The sequence below is a fragment of the Homo sapiens genome, chromosome 6 (assembly GCF_000001405.40).
Source record: "Homo sapiens chromosome 6, GRCh38.p14 Primary Assembly".
NCBI lineage: Eukaryota > Metazoa > Chordata > Mammalia > Primates > Hominidae > Homo > Homo sapiens.
The window spans coordinates 143095913-143114881 of NC_000006.12; the positions used below are offsets into that span (position 1 = coordinate 143095913).

General features: G+C 38.2%; 1 protein-coding gene across 22 annotated transcripts in view, besides 1 other annotated feature; it reads left to right on the plus strand.

Moving 5' to 3' along the window:
- The window catches only part of AIG1 (androgen induced 1), a 284671-nt gene that overhangs the window by 36700 nt on the left and 229002 nt on the right, over positions 1–18969 (plus strand). For 2 of the 22 annotated variants that reach the window (NM_001366344.1, NM_001366356.2), the window contains exon 2: positions 17–157. The exons of the other annotated variants lie outside the window; for them this stretch is intronic. In NM_001366344.1, coding sequence (NP_001353273.1) covers positions 17–157 — 141 coding nt within the window. The remainder of the gene's footprint in view (positions 1–16; positions 158–18969) is intronic. 22 annotated transcript variants of the gene reach the window in all.
- Positions 16177–16266: an enhancer, noted in NCBI's record as "active region_25194". NCBI's record gives its function as "activates an Ori minimal core promoter by ATAC-STARR-seq in GM12878 lymphoblastoid cells {active_cell/tissue: GM12878}" and the evidence as "EXISTENCE:reporter gene assay evidence [ECO:0000049][PMID:35858748]".

The window sequence follows — 18969 nt, forward strand, 5'->3', positions numbered from 1 at the left end:
TTTTTTTTTTTTTGAGATGGAGTCTCACTCTGTCACCAGGCTGGAGTGCAGTGGCACGATCTCGGCTCACTGCAACCTCTGCCTCCTGTGTTCAAGCTATTCTCCTGCCTCAGCCTCCCGAGTAGCTGGGACTACAGGCGTGTGCCACCATGCCCGGGTAATTTTTTGTATTTTTAGTAGAGACAGGGTTTCACCATATTAGCCAGGGTGGTCTCGATCTCCTGACCTTGGAATTTGCCTGCTTTGGCCTGCCAAAGTGCTGGGATTACAGGCGTGAGCCACCACGCCCGGCCCTAGATACTTTTTAATGCTGTTTTCCTGGTTAAAGTTACAGAGAAATAATCTGGCCAGATATTTCCTACAGAAATGCTACTTTAATGAGTACTTAAGAATTATTTGTTAATTAGCACCTGAAAGTACTGATCTGAATATGGGCTTTTCCTGCCTTCATTGCTGTTTACATGAATGAATATAAATTGATAAGCTGGCTAAGGTATCTCTTCTGAAATTTTAATATGCTTTATCATTGGTCAGTTTCAAAGGTAAATTGCAGTCTAATTTAGGCCTATCTAGCATGAGAGTGACTAAGTTATTTTAAAGACCTCACCCAGTCAGATGGCTTCTCTTCTTGCTCTTAAATTGCGGTTTTAAATAGCAGAATCAAAAAGAGAAGATGAAGAGTGTTGTATTATTGTCACTGTAAATAGACTTATGCTTAATAGCTCACTGTGGGAATTCCCCTGAGATTTCATTTATGGGTACAGTATCAGAATGTCATGCTGATATGGATGGCCAATAGATAAGTATATATTAATAATTGATAGTTTCTTAATGACGCTTCTGTCTTTGAAAAAATGATTTTAAAAGAAGGAATATCTTTCAATCCAGTTATGGATCTCTATCAAATATAAGTCAGAGGTTAATAGGACTGTGTCATTGATACTGTAATACAATTGCAATTGCCTTATTCCTACTTTACATTTTTATTGAAAGTCAACCTAGCATATAATTTTAAAATGATTTTTTCCATCTTATACATTTAATTTTTCTATATATTAGCACAAATTAAACTCATAGCTTGACTGTAATCAACATATGTGAACCAATATCTGGTTACCACAGAAAACCATTATTATATGACCTAATTTGATATTTAAAAAATTGCCATTAGTGACCTTAGGCACAAATAGAAAGGGAATAGCCCTGTAACAGCAGACTTAAATTGTAAAGGAAAAGTGAAGTTTTTTGTTTTTTTTTTTCCTAAGAGAATGCCTATCAGATAGAATCTCCCTTGCTTTTTGATGAAGTGGGGCTTGCTCTGTTACTTTGTAGTGGGAGAATTTCTCAGACATTCTGCTGTAGCAAAAAATTTAGACCTTATCACCTTTCCCAATCCTATACCCCCTCATTTCCTCATTATTTTTCTTAGTGGCTTAGAGTGCATGGCCCAACCTTATAAGCACACCCCCAGCATACCCTCATCATATCCTGTTTACCTTCAATCTTACTCATTTGAAAAATCTATAATCCGGATTAAACTCAACTACTTGTCTACTCATGCCTGTACACTAGCAGCTAAGAATGATTGAAGAAAATCACAGAAGCCTCCCGTGTGATCTTGCTTGATGTTTATAACCACAAATATCCAATGAGCGCTCCGTACTGTGCTGACCAACCAGCTACTACACTTACCTAGGCAGTTTCATCTTCGATTCTCACAGTGCCTCTTTCACCTGTTTTCCTCTATCCTCAAATCTTGGGCATCCCTCTCTAATCCTCTCACTCAGCTGTCTCTTTCACTCAGAGAGCAATCTTCATATTAGCCAAAGGGCATGGTGACCTTGCTGCTTGTTTCAGTATAAGACAACAAAAGCAATCGGAAGAAGCTTCTACATTCTCCCATCATCAAATTTCTCAAACCACCTCCACTTGAAACTCTACTATACTTTCTCTCCTATTGCAGTAGAAGAAGTGTCTGTGCTTCTAAGGACAACTCTTCCATGTATACCTTGGAATCTATAACCTCATACCTACTCGAGCATTTTATTACTCAGAGTATCTCTCCTCCCTCCTGTGTTACAGTTTTCCATTTCAATTGCTTCATTTCCATCAGTCCACAAACATAGTGTGCTATCATCTCTCATCTTACACGAAACAAGACAAAATAAAATTTGTCTTTGTCTTAAATCTCCTAGTGTCACTCTATTTTTCTGGTTCTATTTTCAGCAAAACTCCTTGGAAGAAGTCTACACTTCTGGTTTTCACTTCCTCTTCCTCCATTCTCTCTGAAACACACTCTGCCCCAGTGAAGGAAGTCTAATCAAGGTCATCAGTAACCACTGCGTCAACACATACAGTGGCTAATTCTGATTTTTTACTTACATAACTCACAGGAATGACTAGCCTAGTAAATAACCTTCTTTTTCTTGAAGGATTTTCTTAAAACTTGGATTCTGGGAAGTGACACTCTTACCTTTCTTCTGACCATTCTGGCTATTTTCTGTTTCTTCTTAGCCTCCCTTACTGGTTCCTCTTCCTCTTCTTAACCTCTCAATGTTGAATTCCTGAGAAATCAGTTCTAGACCATCTTCCCCTTATAGTCTACATTCACTACCTTGGGGAACTCAACTAGCATTATGGTGGCTTTAAATACATTCTATCTGATGTTGGTCCCCCAAATTTATATTTTGAGCCCCAGTCTCTCTTGAGCTCTATATTCTTGTATCTAACCACCTGCTTTTCAAACTTATGTTAAAAAACTTTTCTTGATTTTACCTCCCAAACCTGCTTCTACTCCCTTATTCTCTATCTAAATAAATGGCACCCCATCATCCAAGACTTTTGTGTTGTACAACTCCGGGGTATGTTGTTCTTATGGATTAATTGGACCTTTGTTAGCATCTTCTGTGCATTTTTTTCCCATGGGTATCTCATTTATTTGAATTGGACTAAAAAATGTAAACCGTTTGGTAGCTGTATTTAGCTCTTGAAAGTTTCAGTCTATCTGGGTAGCTGCTATACTAATTACATGATGAAAATGAACAGCTAATATTCTTTTGTTTGAGAAATTGCCAAAGATCAGAGAACCATCTTCATATTGACTAAAGTGCATAACTCAAAAAATAATAATTTTAACTTTAACTTCAGATCTTGGAAACATTTCAGTGAAGAGTTTTTGATTTAAAAAGACCATCAGTTTTCACTTACCATTTAGGATAATAACCATATAATATTTTTCGATTCCACCAAAAATGGCCACATTTCTCTTTGACTAAAAAGTAGTAAATATCAGCAGCTCTTTTTATTTGCTGCTACTACTGCAGAAAGCTTCATAAACTTTTCAGCCAGAAATATTGTAAAGATCAAAGAGCTTTCAAATGAGTTTCTAACTAACAATGTAGATACTCTGTCTGCATTAGCCAAACTTGCTATGCTCTGTTCCCTAGAGCACACCATATTCTAAGCAAGACAGGGATTATTAAAAAGTTAACCGTGGAATAAATAATCAACATAAAATAGTATGCATGATATGTGCATAAGTTTTTAAAGCTAATTATAAAGATAATTTTACCTCTACTGCTGTTTTCCATATCATGTTATTTTCCCAGACTGTAATTTTGCCTCCTGCCCTGAAGTAGCTGCCATCCTGAATTTTGTGTTTATATCCTCCTCCTTTTTTAGTAGTATATACTCCTAAACAAAATATTGTGTTGGTTAGTTTTGCTTGATTAGGGGCTTCATAAAAGTGGTTTCATTATGAAAGCTTTCTTTATCCAAATAGAAATAGTGTGTTTAAGTGGGGTAAGCTTGGCAGAACAATGGACCATTGTGATATCATTTACATGCTTATGTTTTTTATTGCCTTCAGTACTATGTAATTTGGTCTTGTCACTGATTAGCCAATTAGGAATTGGAAGGATGATATGTAAATGTTACTGTCTAACTGACAGAATGATTTATTAGAAGTGTGTATTTGTAGAATTTCACCTGCTTTGTTGTTTGGGAGGCTCAGTGCCAAACCTAAACACAAGGGTCAATGGCAGACCTGTGGCCAGCGGTTTATAAGAAAATTCAGCCACAGTTGAATTTCATTCAAGTACGGTTTTGTTTGCTTGCCAGTGGTGCCATGCTGACTTTAGAATATATTTACCTTTTCTATAGTTTCCATCAGCATTGTTGATTTCAGCATGTATGGATATAACCCGTGGGTCCTGATGCCACCCACTGACAGCACTGGCTTGGTTTTTGGCCCTGCTTGTGCTGGTACTTTCTATTCTTCCAATGTCAGTGTTTCTACTCTATTCTTACTGCCAAATGGATCCTCTGAACCGTAAGATTTACATGAAGAGGGCTTCCCTTTGCTCTTGGAAAACTGTGTGGCTCATTGACCTAGGTTGTTTCCTTTGATTTCAGAGATGGGAGAGGTTTTGTTCTCATTAAAAATATTCTTTTGATTTCACGATTTTGTCTTAATGTGTTTTGGATAGAAAAATGCTAAAAATAATACTCTTACAAAGAAAGCAGAAAAAAAGAAGGAACTGATATTTGTCCATAGCTTTAATCCACAAAATTAAAAAGCATTCACTTATTTTAAGAAATAATAGGAGTCATTTTTATGAAAATGTGTTAGTTAGAGCTTACTAAGTTTAATCTTCTGATGTCCTTATTCTCTTTATTTTAAAAAGCAAGCAATATATACATTGCAAGCCTCTGTAAAGATTGCGTAAGATGCTAATGGAGAGAAGATAGTAATATAGTCATACTTAAAGTTTATTCTCTTTTTTTTTTTTTGAGATGAAGTCTTGCTCTGTTGCCCAGGCTAGAGTGCAGTGGTGCTATCTCCACTCACTGCAACCTATGCCTCCAGGTTCAAGCGATTCTCCTGCCTCAGCCTCCTGAGGAGCTGGGATTACAGCCACTCACCACTACACCCGGCTAATTTTTGTATTTTTAGGAGAGATGGGGTTTCACCATGTTGGCCAGGCTGGTCTCAAACTCCTGACCTCAAGTGATCCACCCGCCTCGGCCTCCCAAAGTGCTGGGATTACAGGCCTGAGCCACCGTGCCCAGCCTATTCTCTTATATAATTAATTTAAGCTCACTCTTATAAAATTTTCAAGTTTTATTTCATGTCATCTTTTTATGCATGCCTGAGAGGTTATTTTTCATATAATTTTTTTTGCTTACTGATGCTTTAAATAACCAGTGTAGGTAATGTTTATTAAAGTGAGATGTCAGGTTGCTGGCTTTCATTGTTGAAGAGTCTGTTTTAGGTGAATAAGGAGAGAAAATGAGGTAATGAGGTGGCGCATATAGTAGCATCTCGGAGACCACTGAGACCAATGCAGGAAAATATCCTGGAGTGCACAGTCCATCAATTCCAGTATGAGTAGCCTGCAAGGATGATCCACATCAACATTCACAACATTGTGTAAATTACACTAATTAAGTAATCACTTTGTTTTTCTTCCACCATTTTAGAAGAATTTCCAAGGAATTATTGGTTGGGGGAAAGAGGGATAAGTTGGAATAGACAAGGAGAGGAAGATAGGATTAAGGGTCTAGATTCCTTCAGTGAATGGTGGCTCTGAGCAGGTAGAGATGAAGGGGAGGAGACTGGAGACTCTTAGAGGACTGTATGAGGGATAGAGCTCTGAAAACTGGGAAGACGGAATCCAGAGTGGTTTGTCAGGTGTGACACCGTAGAAACTGCCTATTGTGTTGGACTTTGGAGACTTAGGGGGAAAGGGTAGGAAGTGGGTGAGGGATAAAAGACTAGAAATTGGGTTCAGTATATACTGCTCAGGTTATGGGTGCACCAAAATCTCACAAATCACCATTAAAGAACTTATTCATGTAACGAAATGCCACCTGTTCCCCCAAAACCAATGGAAATAAGAAATTAATAATAATAATAAAAACTTCTACTCTAAAAAACAAGAAAACAAACAAAAACAATCACTTGGGGAGTTTTTACAATTTCTAATGCCCAAGTTTCCCTTTATATCAATTAAATAAGAATCTCTAGTGGTAGACATTGGCATCAGTATTTTTCAAAGATTTCCCAGGTTATTCCAATGTGTTAGCAAAGTTTGGGAAACAGACCTAGCCTATGCTATTCAGTCTCCTACAGTATTAATATATTCCTGAAAATGTGTAAGAGTAAAGTGATGTTTTTTGCTGTTGTAGAATATGTTCATCCCTAGAGAACTTAAAATATAAATATTTTATAGCTTGCTTTATGACATATTATTCACTATATTGATAATATTTTATATGACTTTATTCTTTGTTTACATTTGAACACAATCTTGTGGATATGTGGTGCTAATATTTTCCTCTTTTGGCACATCTAATTAGTTCCATGTTTTCTCACAATTAAGTTTATAAGACTGAAGGTTTTTATTCTTAAAAAACAAACAAAAAAAACACCTATTGTGACTCCTCAATTAATGTCCGAGAAAATATTTTCAGCCGGAAGGGAAGGACTTAAAACGTTTCATGAGATATTAAATGGAAATGCATTGTTCAGGGCCTCTTAGGATATATATATATATATAAAATATAATATATATAAAAATATATAATATGATACATAATATATAATATAATATGTAAAATATATAATATAGTATATAAAAGATAATGTTATATAAATATATATAATATAATATATATAGGGTCATAGAACATATCCCAGGGGAGATTATGTTAATTGTCTATCATTGCATTTAACATGTAACAGTATTCTAGATAAAATAATAGTGGTTGATATTGTTTTTTCATCCCCTCTCTACTCCTTTACATTTTGTTTTGGTTAACAGATAACTGACTTAATAAAATTAAAAAGTTAGTTATGAGCAGAGACACATGTAGACATGTCAAAATAGTCATGCATTTCCATGTCAAGCCAAATAGTCATGTATTTCCATGTCAAGCCAAAGGCAAACTAAAAGAAGCAAATAAAACTCCATACAATGGATTTTTACTTTATTTTTTTGTTTGTTTTATCCCAGAATCCTGAAGATTTACATTAGGTGAAAATCTAGTGTACATATATATCTTAGGAAATGGATATTAGAGTACAATCATTACTAGAGAATCTGTTCTTCCAGAAAGTACCACTAAATTACACATTTAAAACCAGAACAAAGGCAATGAAGGAACAGTCATTTTTATTAGTTGACTTATTTATTTGATAAACACTTTCTGGATACCAGTGTGCCACTCTGCTAGTTTTAGTAATACAATGACAAGTAACACACAGCTCCTGCCTTCAAAAATATTGTGATGTAATGGGGGTGTCAGGCCCAATCAACAGCATAGAAGTATAGTGAAAGAGGCATGTACAGGATATTACAAATGATTAAAAACTCTACCCCTTCCAATTATTGTTGGATTCTAAGGTAACATTGATTAGCTAAATTAAGTCCACCCACATTAGGAGCCACACTGCTTTGTGGAATGTATATATACATTCTGCCTTTGCCCTGGGGAAGTCAATGGCTGTATTTAGAAGTACAAAGTTTTAGCACTTTGAGGTCATTTATAGCATTGACAAAGTAGATGTGATAAATACAGAAGTTTTCTTTTTTTTTTTTTTTTTTTTTTTTGAGACGGAGTCTCGCTCTGTCGCCCAGGCTGGAGTGCAGTGGCGGGATCTCGGCTCACTGCAAGCTCCGCCTCCCGGGTTCACGCCATTCTCCTGCCTCAGCCTCCCGAGTAGCTGGGACTACAGGCGCCCGCCACTACGCCCGGCTAATTTTTTGTATTTTTAGTAGAGACGGGGTTTCACCATTTTAGCCGGGATGGTCTCGATCTCCTGACCTCGTGATCCGCCCGCCTCGGCCTCCCAAAGTGCTGGGATAGAAGTTTTCTAAAATGAGCTACTGAACATCCTTCTTCCTGATAAGTTCTAACACAAAATTGTTCACTTAAAGGAGCATTACCTGGGCCTTTGAAGAGGTTTGGTCACTGGCCAGGATTCATATTAGTAAGTGAATGAAAAGTACTCTACTCAAAATGATTTGCCTTCATTTTCTGCCCTAAATGGAAGGAATTGACAATGTTTCTGATTGCTGTTGCTGCTGGTGGTGACAATAGTGGTGGGGATGATGGGAAGAGATTTCTGTTTTTATTTTAATCAACCACAGACTTGTTCCCCAGAAGCCATGTGATCAGCAAATTTAGAGGTGAGGGTTGGTCTATACTGGTTTCTGAGAAAGTCCCCTTTGTTGCCTTACTAGTCCCTCTTTGGGACCTTTTTAATTTAAGAGTGAATCTTGCAGCCAACCATTCTGTGGAAATAGAAATGATGCTACAATTAAAAATAGAAACATTGAAAAGTTACCGTGCTTAGAGCCTATTACATAAAAGTCTTTACCTAATATTCCTCTCATCCCTTCACAGAAGTAAATGAAAGACTCTGCCTCTCTTTTAATTATGAGGGTGAAGCTTCCTTCTGACCTTGCTATAGTGAAGGGATTCCTTTCTCCATGGGAGTCCCTCATTCCAGGCTAAAGATGCCATCTGTGCAGAAATATAGTGGTTGTTTGTCCCAAGTGGGCATTTTGTAGTTCCAAAGACCTTTGAGTATGTGACATTTGTTCACCAAAGACCTCTTAGCCTTTCCCAGGTGTGAGCTCTTCTGTTTGTGTTTTTATGTTTTAGTGCTGGATCAGAGAAAACATAGAAACTATAGAATACCCTGAGTGTAGGGCTTATGGCTATAATCCCAGTACTTTGGGAGGCCGAGGCAGGGAGGACTGCTTGAGGCCAGGAGTTCAAGACCTGCCTGAGCAACACAGAAAGCTTCATCTCTACAAAAATAAAAAATAAAAAATTAGCTGAGCATGGTGATGTGCGCCTGATATCCTAGCTACTTGGGAGGCTGAGGCAGGAGGATTGCTTGAGCCTAGGAGTTCAAGACTTTGATGTGATGCTGCCACTGCACTCCAGCCTGGGTTACAGAGCAAGACCGTGTCTCAAAAAAAGAAAAAAAAAAAAAGAACATTCTGAATGTGTGCAAGAGATATAGCTAGTAGGCCTCGAATTGAACTCCAAAGGTGAGGCTTGTCTATGCTGGGCATAAAATGGCATATTAACAGTTAAGCTCAGGTAAGGTAAGATCTCATGATTCCTCCCAGCTCATTGCTGCATTTCTACATTTTGATAAAATTTTGAATAAAAATAAGGGCAACATGGCACAGACCAGTGAGATCATAGCATAGTAGTGAGGGTGTGGTCAAGCCAGGGTAAGACAGATGGTTAATGGAGCATCCCATGCCACAAGAGCCAGATAAATCAAAGACTGAGAGAACGTACATTACACCACCACGGCCAGATACACTGAAACAGCCTTGTGAGAGCAAAAGGAAGACCCTGCATGGCCCTCAGAAGCGGGTGTGAGTAGTGTTCAAGATGAGGTTGCTGAGGAACCCATGAGAGTGAGCCAGTAGGGCACAGGCCTTCACACACCAGGAAGCGCAGAAATCTGTTGTGCATTGTAATGATAATATTGCTCACATCCTTAAGTCCAAAATATTTGTCCAGGAGTATCATAGCTGGAATGCTTTTCTCAAGCTGACTATAAACACTATGGAGAGTGGGTTTTACTGAGAAAAAACTGCCGAATGATACCAATATTTCTCCCACAGCTCCAGAAAAATGTGTCCACAAGCACAGTCCTATCCTTGAATTGGCAATATAAGCGAAGGATCGTTTTAGGTTAGGGGATGTATTGCTGAGTTCTCTAACTTGTCTTTTGGACACTTTTGAGTAGTCTGGGTTCTGCCATGGGGCTTTGCTTTGAAAGTTAAGAACAAGGTCAGGCCCCTCACACAGCTGTCATATGCATTCAGTGGTAGTAGTACATGTTCCTTGAGGTTTTAGCTGTGCAGGCAGCCAACTTCCACAATGGGCAGATGGCAGAATCAGGGGACTGACTTTTGGAAATGGATGGTAGGAATGGAGGCCATTATGGAAATGGTGGCTTTTCCACGAGGATGCCCAAAGGTCTGGTGAATGGTTCTAGTGAGCTCGTGTGCTTTTCCCCTCTGTTCTCATTGCCTTTCTGAATTGTTAAAGATTGAATTGTGTCCCTCTAAAATTCATGTTGAGTTCCTAACCTCAGTACTTTGGAATGCAACCTTATTTGGAAATCAGCTCATTTCGATGTAATTAATGAAGTTTAGGTGAGGTCATCCTGGAGTAGGGCAGGCCCTGAATCTGATGTGACTGGTATTCTTATAAAAAGGGGAAATATGGAAACAGGCATGCACACAGGGAGAACACCATGTGAGCATGACGGCAGAGATGGGAGTGATGCTTCTACAAGCCAAGGAACACGGAAGGTTGCCAGCAAACCACCAGAGAAAAGATATGGAACAGGTTCTCCCTCACAGCCCATCCTGCCGACATCTTGATTTCAGACTTCTGGCCCCCAAAACTGTGAGACAGTAATTTCTGTTGTTTAAATCATCCAGTGTATGATGCTTTGTTATGGCGGCCCTAGCAGACAAATGCATGGTTATCTGTTACTTGGCTGTCTCTTCTAGGGCACTCTACATTCATTGAGGTCAGGGACTGTGTCCTGATCATTTCCAAATCCTCATCACATACAGCAGTCCTGGTACACTTAGGCCTCCCCAAAATATTTACCAAATACAAAAAGTAGATATGTTGATTTCTGCCAATAAACATTTAGCTATCTCTCAAGTAGGAAAGCATATATACTGTTTTCCCAATTCTCAAACTCATTTCAGTTTAGCAACCTTGACCTTGGGTTAGGTTTGGGGTGACTTCCCTGTGTCTTAGTCTATTTGGGCTGCTATAAGGAAATATCATAGACTAGACGGCTTATCAGCAACAGATTTATTTCTCATAGTTCCCTCAGGTGGGAAGTCCAAGATAAAGGTACTTACAGATTCCTTGTCTGATGAGGACAAGGAATGATGGCTTCCTAGTTCATAGACAGTGGAAGGGAGGAAGGCTCTCTCTCGGGCCTCTTTTATAAGGACACTAATACCATTTATGAGAGCTCTACCCTCATGACTAATCACTTCCCAAAGCTCCATCTTCAAATACCCTCACATTGGGTGTGGAGTTGCAACATATGAAAGTTAGAGAGACACACACATTCAAACCATAGCACCTTGATCAGTTCTTCGTCTCCCTAAGTCCCATCAATTACCCTCATTATACTGTATTTAAAAAGTTAAGCCTAACAACTTTCATAGTATCCACAGGTAAATGAAGTTTTTATAACGTAGCACTGTTTTAGGAAAGCCTTCATTAAAAGAATGTGTATAGGCAGTATCAAGAATTTGATTAAGATTTTCTTGAGAAGAAAAGAAATTACTTAATTTTCACACAAATGAAGGATATTTTAATATAAAGATACCTACTCATTGTGAAGACATGTCCTGAATAAATATGGAATATAAGTGGACAATTTATTTAGACAGATAAAAGTCTCCAAAACATATTACCATAGATGCAGACATCTGTCTTCTAGATTGTAGAAGCTAGCTGTATAAAATTATGGTGATATACGAGTGAACTGAGATATTTTTAAACTATAAGTGAAAATGTAGGTCCTTAAAAGTAAACTAGAATAAAGCTTCCTTCATAACTGCAAGCAAAAAAAAAATATGCCAACTGGCTATATCTGGAAACCTCAGTATCTATTTACTTGAATTTTAACCTTTGTGCTAAAGGTCTGGGAAGCAGAGGGAAAAGAGGCTGACTGGAATGAGATGACACAGGACAGGAAAGAGGGGAAGAATTCTAGGTCAGAGGTGGAAGGGACATATTCTGTAATAGTTTTCTGGGCCCTCGAGTTATAAGTCATTTCTGAAAGCTTAGAGATCAACTAAAATATCCTTCCACTGTGATAAGGTGGAAACATTTTTAACTTCATTTATCTTTTGTGTGTTCCATTTTCTGTGGTTTCTTGTGTTTCTTCTAACAGAGGGAAAAAAAGAATTCTTTATTAAATTCCTGATCTAGTTAAATATATGACAGACAGCATGATTTTACATAAGACTTTCTCTGGAAACTGATTTGCTTGATTTACTGTTGTTTTAAGTTGGCTTATATGTTTTGCTTAAACGTTTAGACCTGTCAAAATGGCCACCCAAAGCTTTGATGCCAGATTGCATCTCTCAACTGACAGTTAAGTAAAACATAGTTTTAGAATATAGGCAAGGTCTTACCCTATGTAACAGAAGCGACTCTGCAGCACTTTTCTCTACTGTTTGTTTACTGCATAAGCACATTGTAACGGGTGTGATTTAGAAGCACTAGACTCAAATCTGTTTAAAAATCATTCCAGATTTACTCTACTAAAAATACTAAGAGAAAATTTTTCTTTAAGATTTCTTACTTGCAACATAGCATTTAAGAAAAATTACTCAATGTAAGACAATATCTTGAGAAACCTAAAACCAAGTGAAAAGACTTGGAAAACATCTCCTGACCACGATGGTCAAATGTTTGTGGTGTCTATTTGATAGCACAACAAGCGAAATAGAATGCCTTAACTTTTCCTTTTCCCTGATCTAACCTCTGTTTCTAGGAATAAAAAACAGAAGGGCAGTTTGCAGCTCAGAGATTTCTCACTTAACAACTTCAGCTGGGATGGGGCCCAGAATCTGGCTCTGGTGTATAAAATTACACTTTTAACTGTATGTGAGGATATTAACACTTGCCTTCGCCAGTTTTCAACAGACACATATATGTGGGATGCATGTAGGTATTTAACTTTCTAAGATGTTTATAGTTAGAAATGCCTTTAAAACCCCTGGACTATGGGTGTTTTCCTGTGGAATGCCATTATCCTGTTTATTTGTTTATATTCAAAGCAGTGCACACATCTTACATGAATTGACTACAGCTTACAGTGTTCTGTTTATTTGTATATTTTTATTTTCAAAGCAAACCAGGTATACGGAGAAGTCTTATATGAACAGCTCAATGAGTTTTTAGGAAACACATCTGTGTAACCACCACCCACATCAACATATCAAACATCACCAATACCCCAGAAGCTACTCTATCCCTTCCGTGTCATTAGCCCCTTAAAGGTAACCACCATTCTGACCTCTGTCACTGTAGATTATAGCTGCTCATTCTTCAATTCTACAGATTTCCATAGAAATTCCTATGGTATTCTGTAGGAATCATGCAGCTTACGTTGCTGTTTTTTTTTCCCCTAGATTCTTTTCTTCAGTGTGCGTCTGTGAGGTTCATTCTTGTGGTTGTGTGTTCTTTTTCATTACTATACAGGACTGCATTTGTTCTTTTTCATTACTATACAAGATTCCATTTTGTATGTTTTAAAATTTATACTCCATTCTATTGCTGATGCATTTCTGTGTTGTTTCCAACTTTCAGCTATCAAGAATAATGCTTCTATGAACGTGCTTATACATGTAACATTGGTACACAGGGATATGCATTTCTGGCGAGGAAGAGACTTACTGGGTTATAGAGTCCACATATGTTCAGCTTCGTGGAGACTGCCAGTTTTCCAAAGTGGTTTTAACAATTTACATTCCCTGCAGCAGTGTTTAAAAGTTCCAGTTATCCTGTGTCCTCACCAATGCTTTGTAGTGTCAACGTTTTTTTCTGATTTATTATTTTTTTTAATTTTAGCTATTCTATTGGCTATGCAGTAATCTTTTGTTGTGATTTTAATTTGGATTTCTCTGATCACTAGTATTGTTAATCATTTTTATTTCCTTACCTGCCATTTGAAATTGGTCTTTTTAATGACGTGTGTGTTAAAGTCCTTTGCCGTTTAAAAATACTGGGTAGTCTTTCTTTTACTCTGGCTTGTAGAAGGCAAGTTTTAAAAAAAATTTGTTCATTTTCAGTTATATACATGACAAATATATTTTCTTTCTTTATGGCTTATCTTCCCTCTTTATGACATCTTTTGATCAACTGAAGTTCTTACTTTCAATGAAGTTTAACTTATTAATCCATTCTATTATTGCATTGTTGTTTTTTGTCCTTTTCAGAAATATTTACCCAATCCAAGGTCATGAAGATATTCTCCTCTGCTATCTTCTAGAAGCTCTGTCATTTTGCCTTTCGCATTTCTGGTCTGTCTGGGAGTAATTTTTTTGTATAATGTGAGGTAGGAGGCAAGGATCATTTTTTCTCACATGGGTATCCATTCTTTTTCCCAGTGGCAGCTTTGCCCTATAGCAGTTGACCGTTTATGTGTGGGTCTGTGTCTGGACTCTGTGCTGCCCCACTGGTCTATTTACCTATCCTTGCACTGATACCATACCATTCCGATGACTATAACTGTAAATTAAATCTTGATATCTGGTAATATAAGTTCTCCAACTTTGTTCTTCAATATAATTTTTTTTATTCTTGAGCTTTTGCATTTCCATGTAATTTTAGAATCAGCTTGCCAAATTTCACACACAAAGATTTAGATTATTAATTGGGATAATAATGAATCAATTTAAGTAGAATTGACATTTTTCAATATTGTACCTTCCAGGAACCTAGTAGATGCCTCCATTTCTTAAGTCTTCTTTCACCTTGTCAGTAAAGTTTTGGGTTTTCTTTGTGGAGGACTGCACATCGTTCACTGGCTTTATTCCTAGTTATGTGTCCTCTTTTCAGTAGAGAGCTGCTTCCAGTTTGTATAAAAGCAAAATCTTCCTTTACGGTCACACCCTTAAACAAAACATTATAGAGGAACTATTTTGAAGCTGAAGAGAGGAAGTGCCCTTGAACCTTGAGGAGGAGGTGCGGAGTTTTTTTTGGTTGTTGGTTTGAGGTAGGTGAGATGCAGTATGTCTTGTCCAGATGGAATCTTTGGAATATCCTTAAAGGCAGCAGATGTGTGTGGGAAGAATGACAGAGTATATCGAGAAGCAGACTTAATGCATTGAGTAATCGCATAGTTGAATGAATAAACCAATGCATATTTTAAGTATCTGAAGTACATTCATTGATGCAAAGCAAATGACCATTCTAAACATAGGTTATATCCTGGATTTACCTTCTTAAATCTTTGATTTACCATCCCCAGTTGCCAGAGATGAAGTTATAAATTAAATGATTAAAATATTATCAAGGTAATTGATGGTTTAGATTTACCACCAATTATATTTCCCATTAAATAAGAAACATTTTGAAATTTAATAACTCATGTGTGAGTCAGTGACAGCATACTGTTTTAGAGTTAAAGTCTCTTGGAGTTCCTGCTGGTTACTACTCTGTTTTTCTTTTCTTTCCCAATCATGCTTTGGGAAAGAATATTCCTTCTTGCTGACACCAGTGTCTCAGCTCCAATTCACTTCTCATACCAGCCCCTGACTCCTGACATCCATCAAAACTGTTTTCATCCTTAAGACCCAAAGACCTCATAATTGCCAGATTCAGTAAAGAAGTTTTCTTCAAGTTCTTTCGACATTTGAGATTATTGAACTATTCCTTCTCCTTAAAACTCTTCTTTTGCGGCTTTCTTGATATTTATTCTCCTTTCCTGGTCTCCTTCCTACCTCTCTGACTCTTTCTCAGGCTGTCTTCATTCCACAAATGTTGTTATTGCACATGGCCTGCTTCAGACTCATTGCTTCTTCATTGTGAATTCTCAATCTGGTGGAACTCGTTCACTCTGTGGCTTCCTGACAATCAGTCTTCTGACGTTTTTGAAAGCTTATCCTGAAATATCCTACACTACAAACACGTATATCCAACTACCTGTTGGACCTCTCCATTTGAGTGCCCCAGAGACACTTAAAACTTAACATGTCAGAACAGGAAACATCTTAACATGTTCTGCACCTTGGTGAATGCCACCCTTTCTCCTGGGCCAGCAGCCTGGAAGTGGTTATTGACTATTCTCTCTTTTTTGTTTCCCCATGTCTAGTGAAAACATCCAACTCGTCTTCCTCCTTAATAGCCTTAATATGTCTGCAGTCTTGACCCTCTTCTCTATATCTCTCTCTTTTTTCTGTTCCCAAATAGCCTTACACCTGGCTTTTTAAAACAGGCTCCTAACTGGTCTCTCTGCCCATTCAATATGGTCATCCTCCAATCTCATATCTGCTTTCAAGATGATCTTTCCAAAATGTACTACTTCTCTATTTAAAACTCTACAGTGGTTCTATTTTTCCTTCAGCACAAAAGCCAAGACCTTCAATATGGCTTTACAAACCTAGCCATAAGGGAGCTCCTTCTGCTTCTCTAGTCTCCTCTTGACACTACCCCTTTTCACCTGCCTGACCTGTTATCCAGAGCCCCTGCAGTTCCTTCCATCACTCTGTGCCTTCCCTTCATAAATACTCTGCTTCTGCCCAGAACAGTCACATCTCTATCCACAACTTCTTCTGTGGGTGGTTTCTTACTCATTCTCCAAAACTTACCTTGGTTATGTCATGCTCTAGGGGGAACCTTTTCTCATTCCCCTGCACACACCAGTCTGGAATATATTATATTGCATTATATGTGTTTCTTTATCTCACTCTGAACTTTTCAAAGGCGAAAAACACATTTTTTCACGTTTGTATCCTCCCTCTGCAGGTACTTTTAGAAATAGGCACTATGTTAGGCTCTAGAGATGCAAAGATGAATAAGACATTATCCCTGCCTATGAGGCTCTCATAGTATAGAAAGTAAAACAGAAACATCAAAAGATAGTTACCGTGCAGTTTGACAAGTACCAGATGACAGGTATTTTTAAAACATGGAAGATAGAGCACCTGATTCTGGGTCTGAGTGAGTTCTATTTAAGTGTATACAAGGATTGTTTGAGAAATATGGACGGACAAATAATCCTCAGAGTAAATATCCTCTCCAGGAAAACTCCTGGCAACCCCATCACCCATTTCACCAGTTGATCTCCAGAGACTGTGCATTTTTGATCCTCACATGTAGAGAACTGCATGGGAGATAAAATATTAACAAATAGGACCCAAACATGTAAATAAACATGATATGGCTTGGTGGGAGAGGTAAACGTATTAAGCCATATTTTAGGACTTAGTTGAGACTTGAAAAAATAAGCATCTTATTTTGTGTGCTCAGGAGCTGTCTGACAAAATCCTAAGCCTGACTGAGATCATAGTCCACCCTGACTTTGTCTAAAAATGTTGCTGACTGGGCATGGTGGCTCACGTCTGAGATCCTAGCACTTTGGGAGACTGAGGTGGGAAGATGGCTTGAGCCTAGGAGGTTGAGGCTGCAGTGAGCTGGGATCACGCCACTACTGCACTCCAGCCTGGGCGAAAGAGCAAGACCCTGAAAGACCCTGTCTCAAAAAAGAAAAAAAAAAAGAGAAAAAAGGCGTTTGCCTTTATGGTAATAAGAACAGCCTAAAGCCTTGAAAGATTCATTCTACTTTTTCAGATACAATGTTAAAAAATTATTAAAGATTTCTGGCGGGGCGTGGGGGCTCACACCTGAAATCCTGGCACTTTGGGAGGCTGAGGTGGGCGGATCACGAGGTCAGGAGTTCGAGACCAGCCTGGCCAACATAGTGAAACCCCATCTCTACTAAAAATACAAAAATTAGCCGGGCATGGTGGCATGCGCCTGTAGTCCCAGCTACTTGGTAGGCTGAGGCAGGTGAATCGCTTGAACTCAGGAGGCGGAGGTTGTGGTCAGCCGAGATCACGCCACTGCACTCCAGCCTAGGCAACAGAGAGAGACTCCATCTCAAAAAAAAAAAACAAAAAAAAAGTTACAGATTTCTTTTTTCCAAAGCAGATTCATAAGCTGTCCCTTACGCTATGAAACTTACTGGAACGACTTTTAGGTTTGGTGAGTTTTCTTAGGACAGACAAACACTGTAAATGTTTTCTTAACCTAGTCCATGTTTATCTTATGTAAATGTTTTCTTTTTTTTTTGAGACGGAGTCTCCCTCCGTCACCCAGGCTAGAGTGCAGTGGCGTGATCTCGGCTCACTGCAAGCTCTGCCTCCCGGGTTCATGGCATTCTCCTGCCTCAGCTTCCGGAGTAGCTGGGACTACAGGCACCCACCACCACGCCCGGCTAACTTTTTGTATTTTTAGTAGAGATGGGGTTTCACCGTGTTAGGCAGGATGGTCTTGATCTTCTGACCTCGTGATCCGCCTGCCTCGACCTCCCAAAGTGCTAGGATTACAGGTGTGAGCCACCGCGCCTGGCCGGAAATGTTTTCTTAACCTGTTAAACAAACAGAATTTCAAACCTAACAAATAACCCAAATACATAGGTAACTGCTTTCATTTCATGGCCCTGAATGGCTGGAAAGTTAGTAGAAAAGTATATCTTCAAGCTGAGCTTTCAAAACACATATCTGTTTTCAAAAATCTTGTACAGGTGAAATATGTAATGCTTGGTTTTGTTTTGGTTTTGTTTTTCTCCTAAAAAACCAGTGTGACTAGTTTAAAACAATGCTAAATAATTCCTAAGGGAAAATGCTGCGAGAACCTTTCACCTAATGAGTTTACTGCCTTAGCTTGCTGTTTTAGTTACATGTTTTCAAGAAGTTCTCAGACGTATGAATGGAAGAACATCTCTGATTCCACTTTAAAATAGATGGGAAAAAAATGCACCAAGGTGGAAGTGGTTGGCAGGCAAAGAAGAAGAATATGAACAATATGAGGGCAGCACTATTTTTATTTTATTAAGGATTAGACATAGTGCATTACAATTGGAATAAAACGTTCAGGTTGTAAGTATGTATTTTTCCACTTGAATAAGTCAGTTAAACTTAGAAACTATTCAATGGGTGTCAGCTTGCAGGTTCTGGATCAATAGAACATAGTATCATGGCATACTGTCTACCATTATAGTATCATGATTGTCAGTTATTTGGAGTATTCTGGCTAAATGCTTTATTTCTAAATCATTATTTCTTCTTATGTGTTTTAATAAATTTGAGGTTATGTTATATGTAATATGCTTTTCTGTGCCTCTACTTCTTCATTTGTGAGATAGAGATAGCTGGAGTC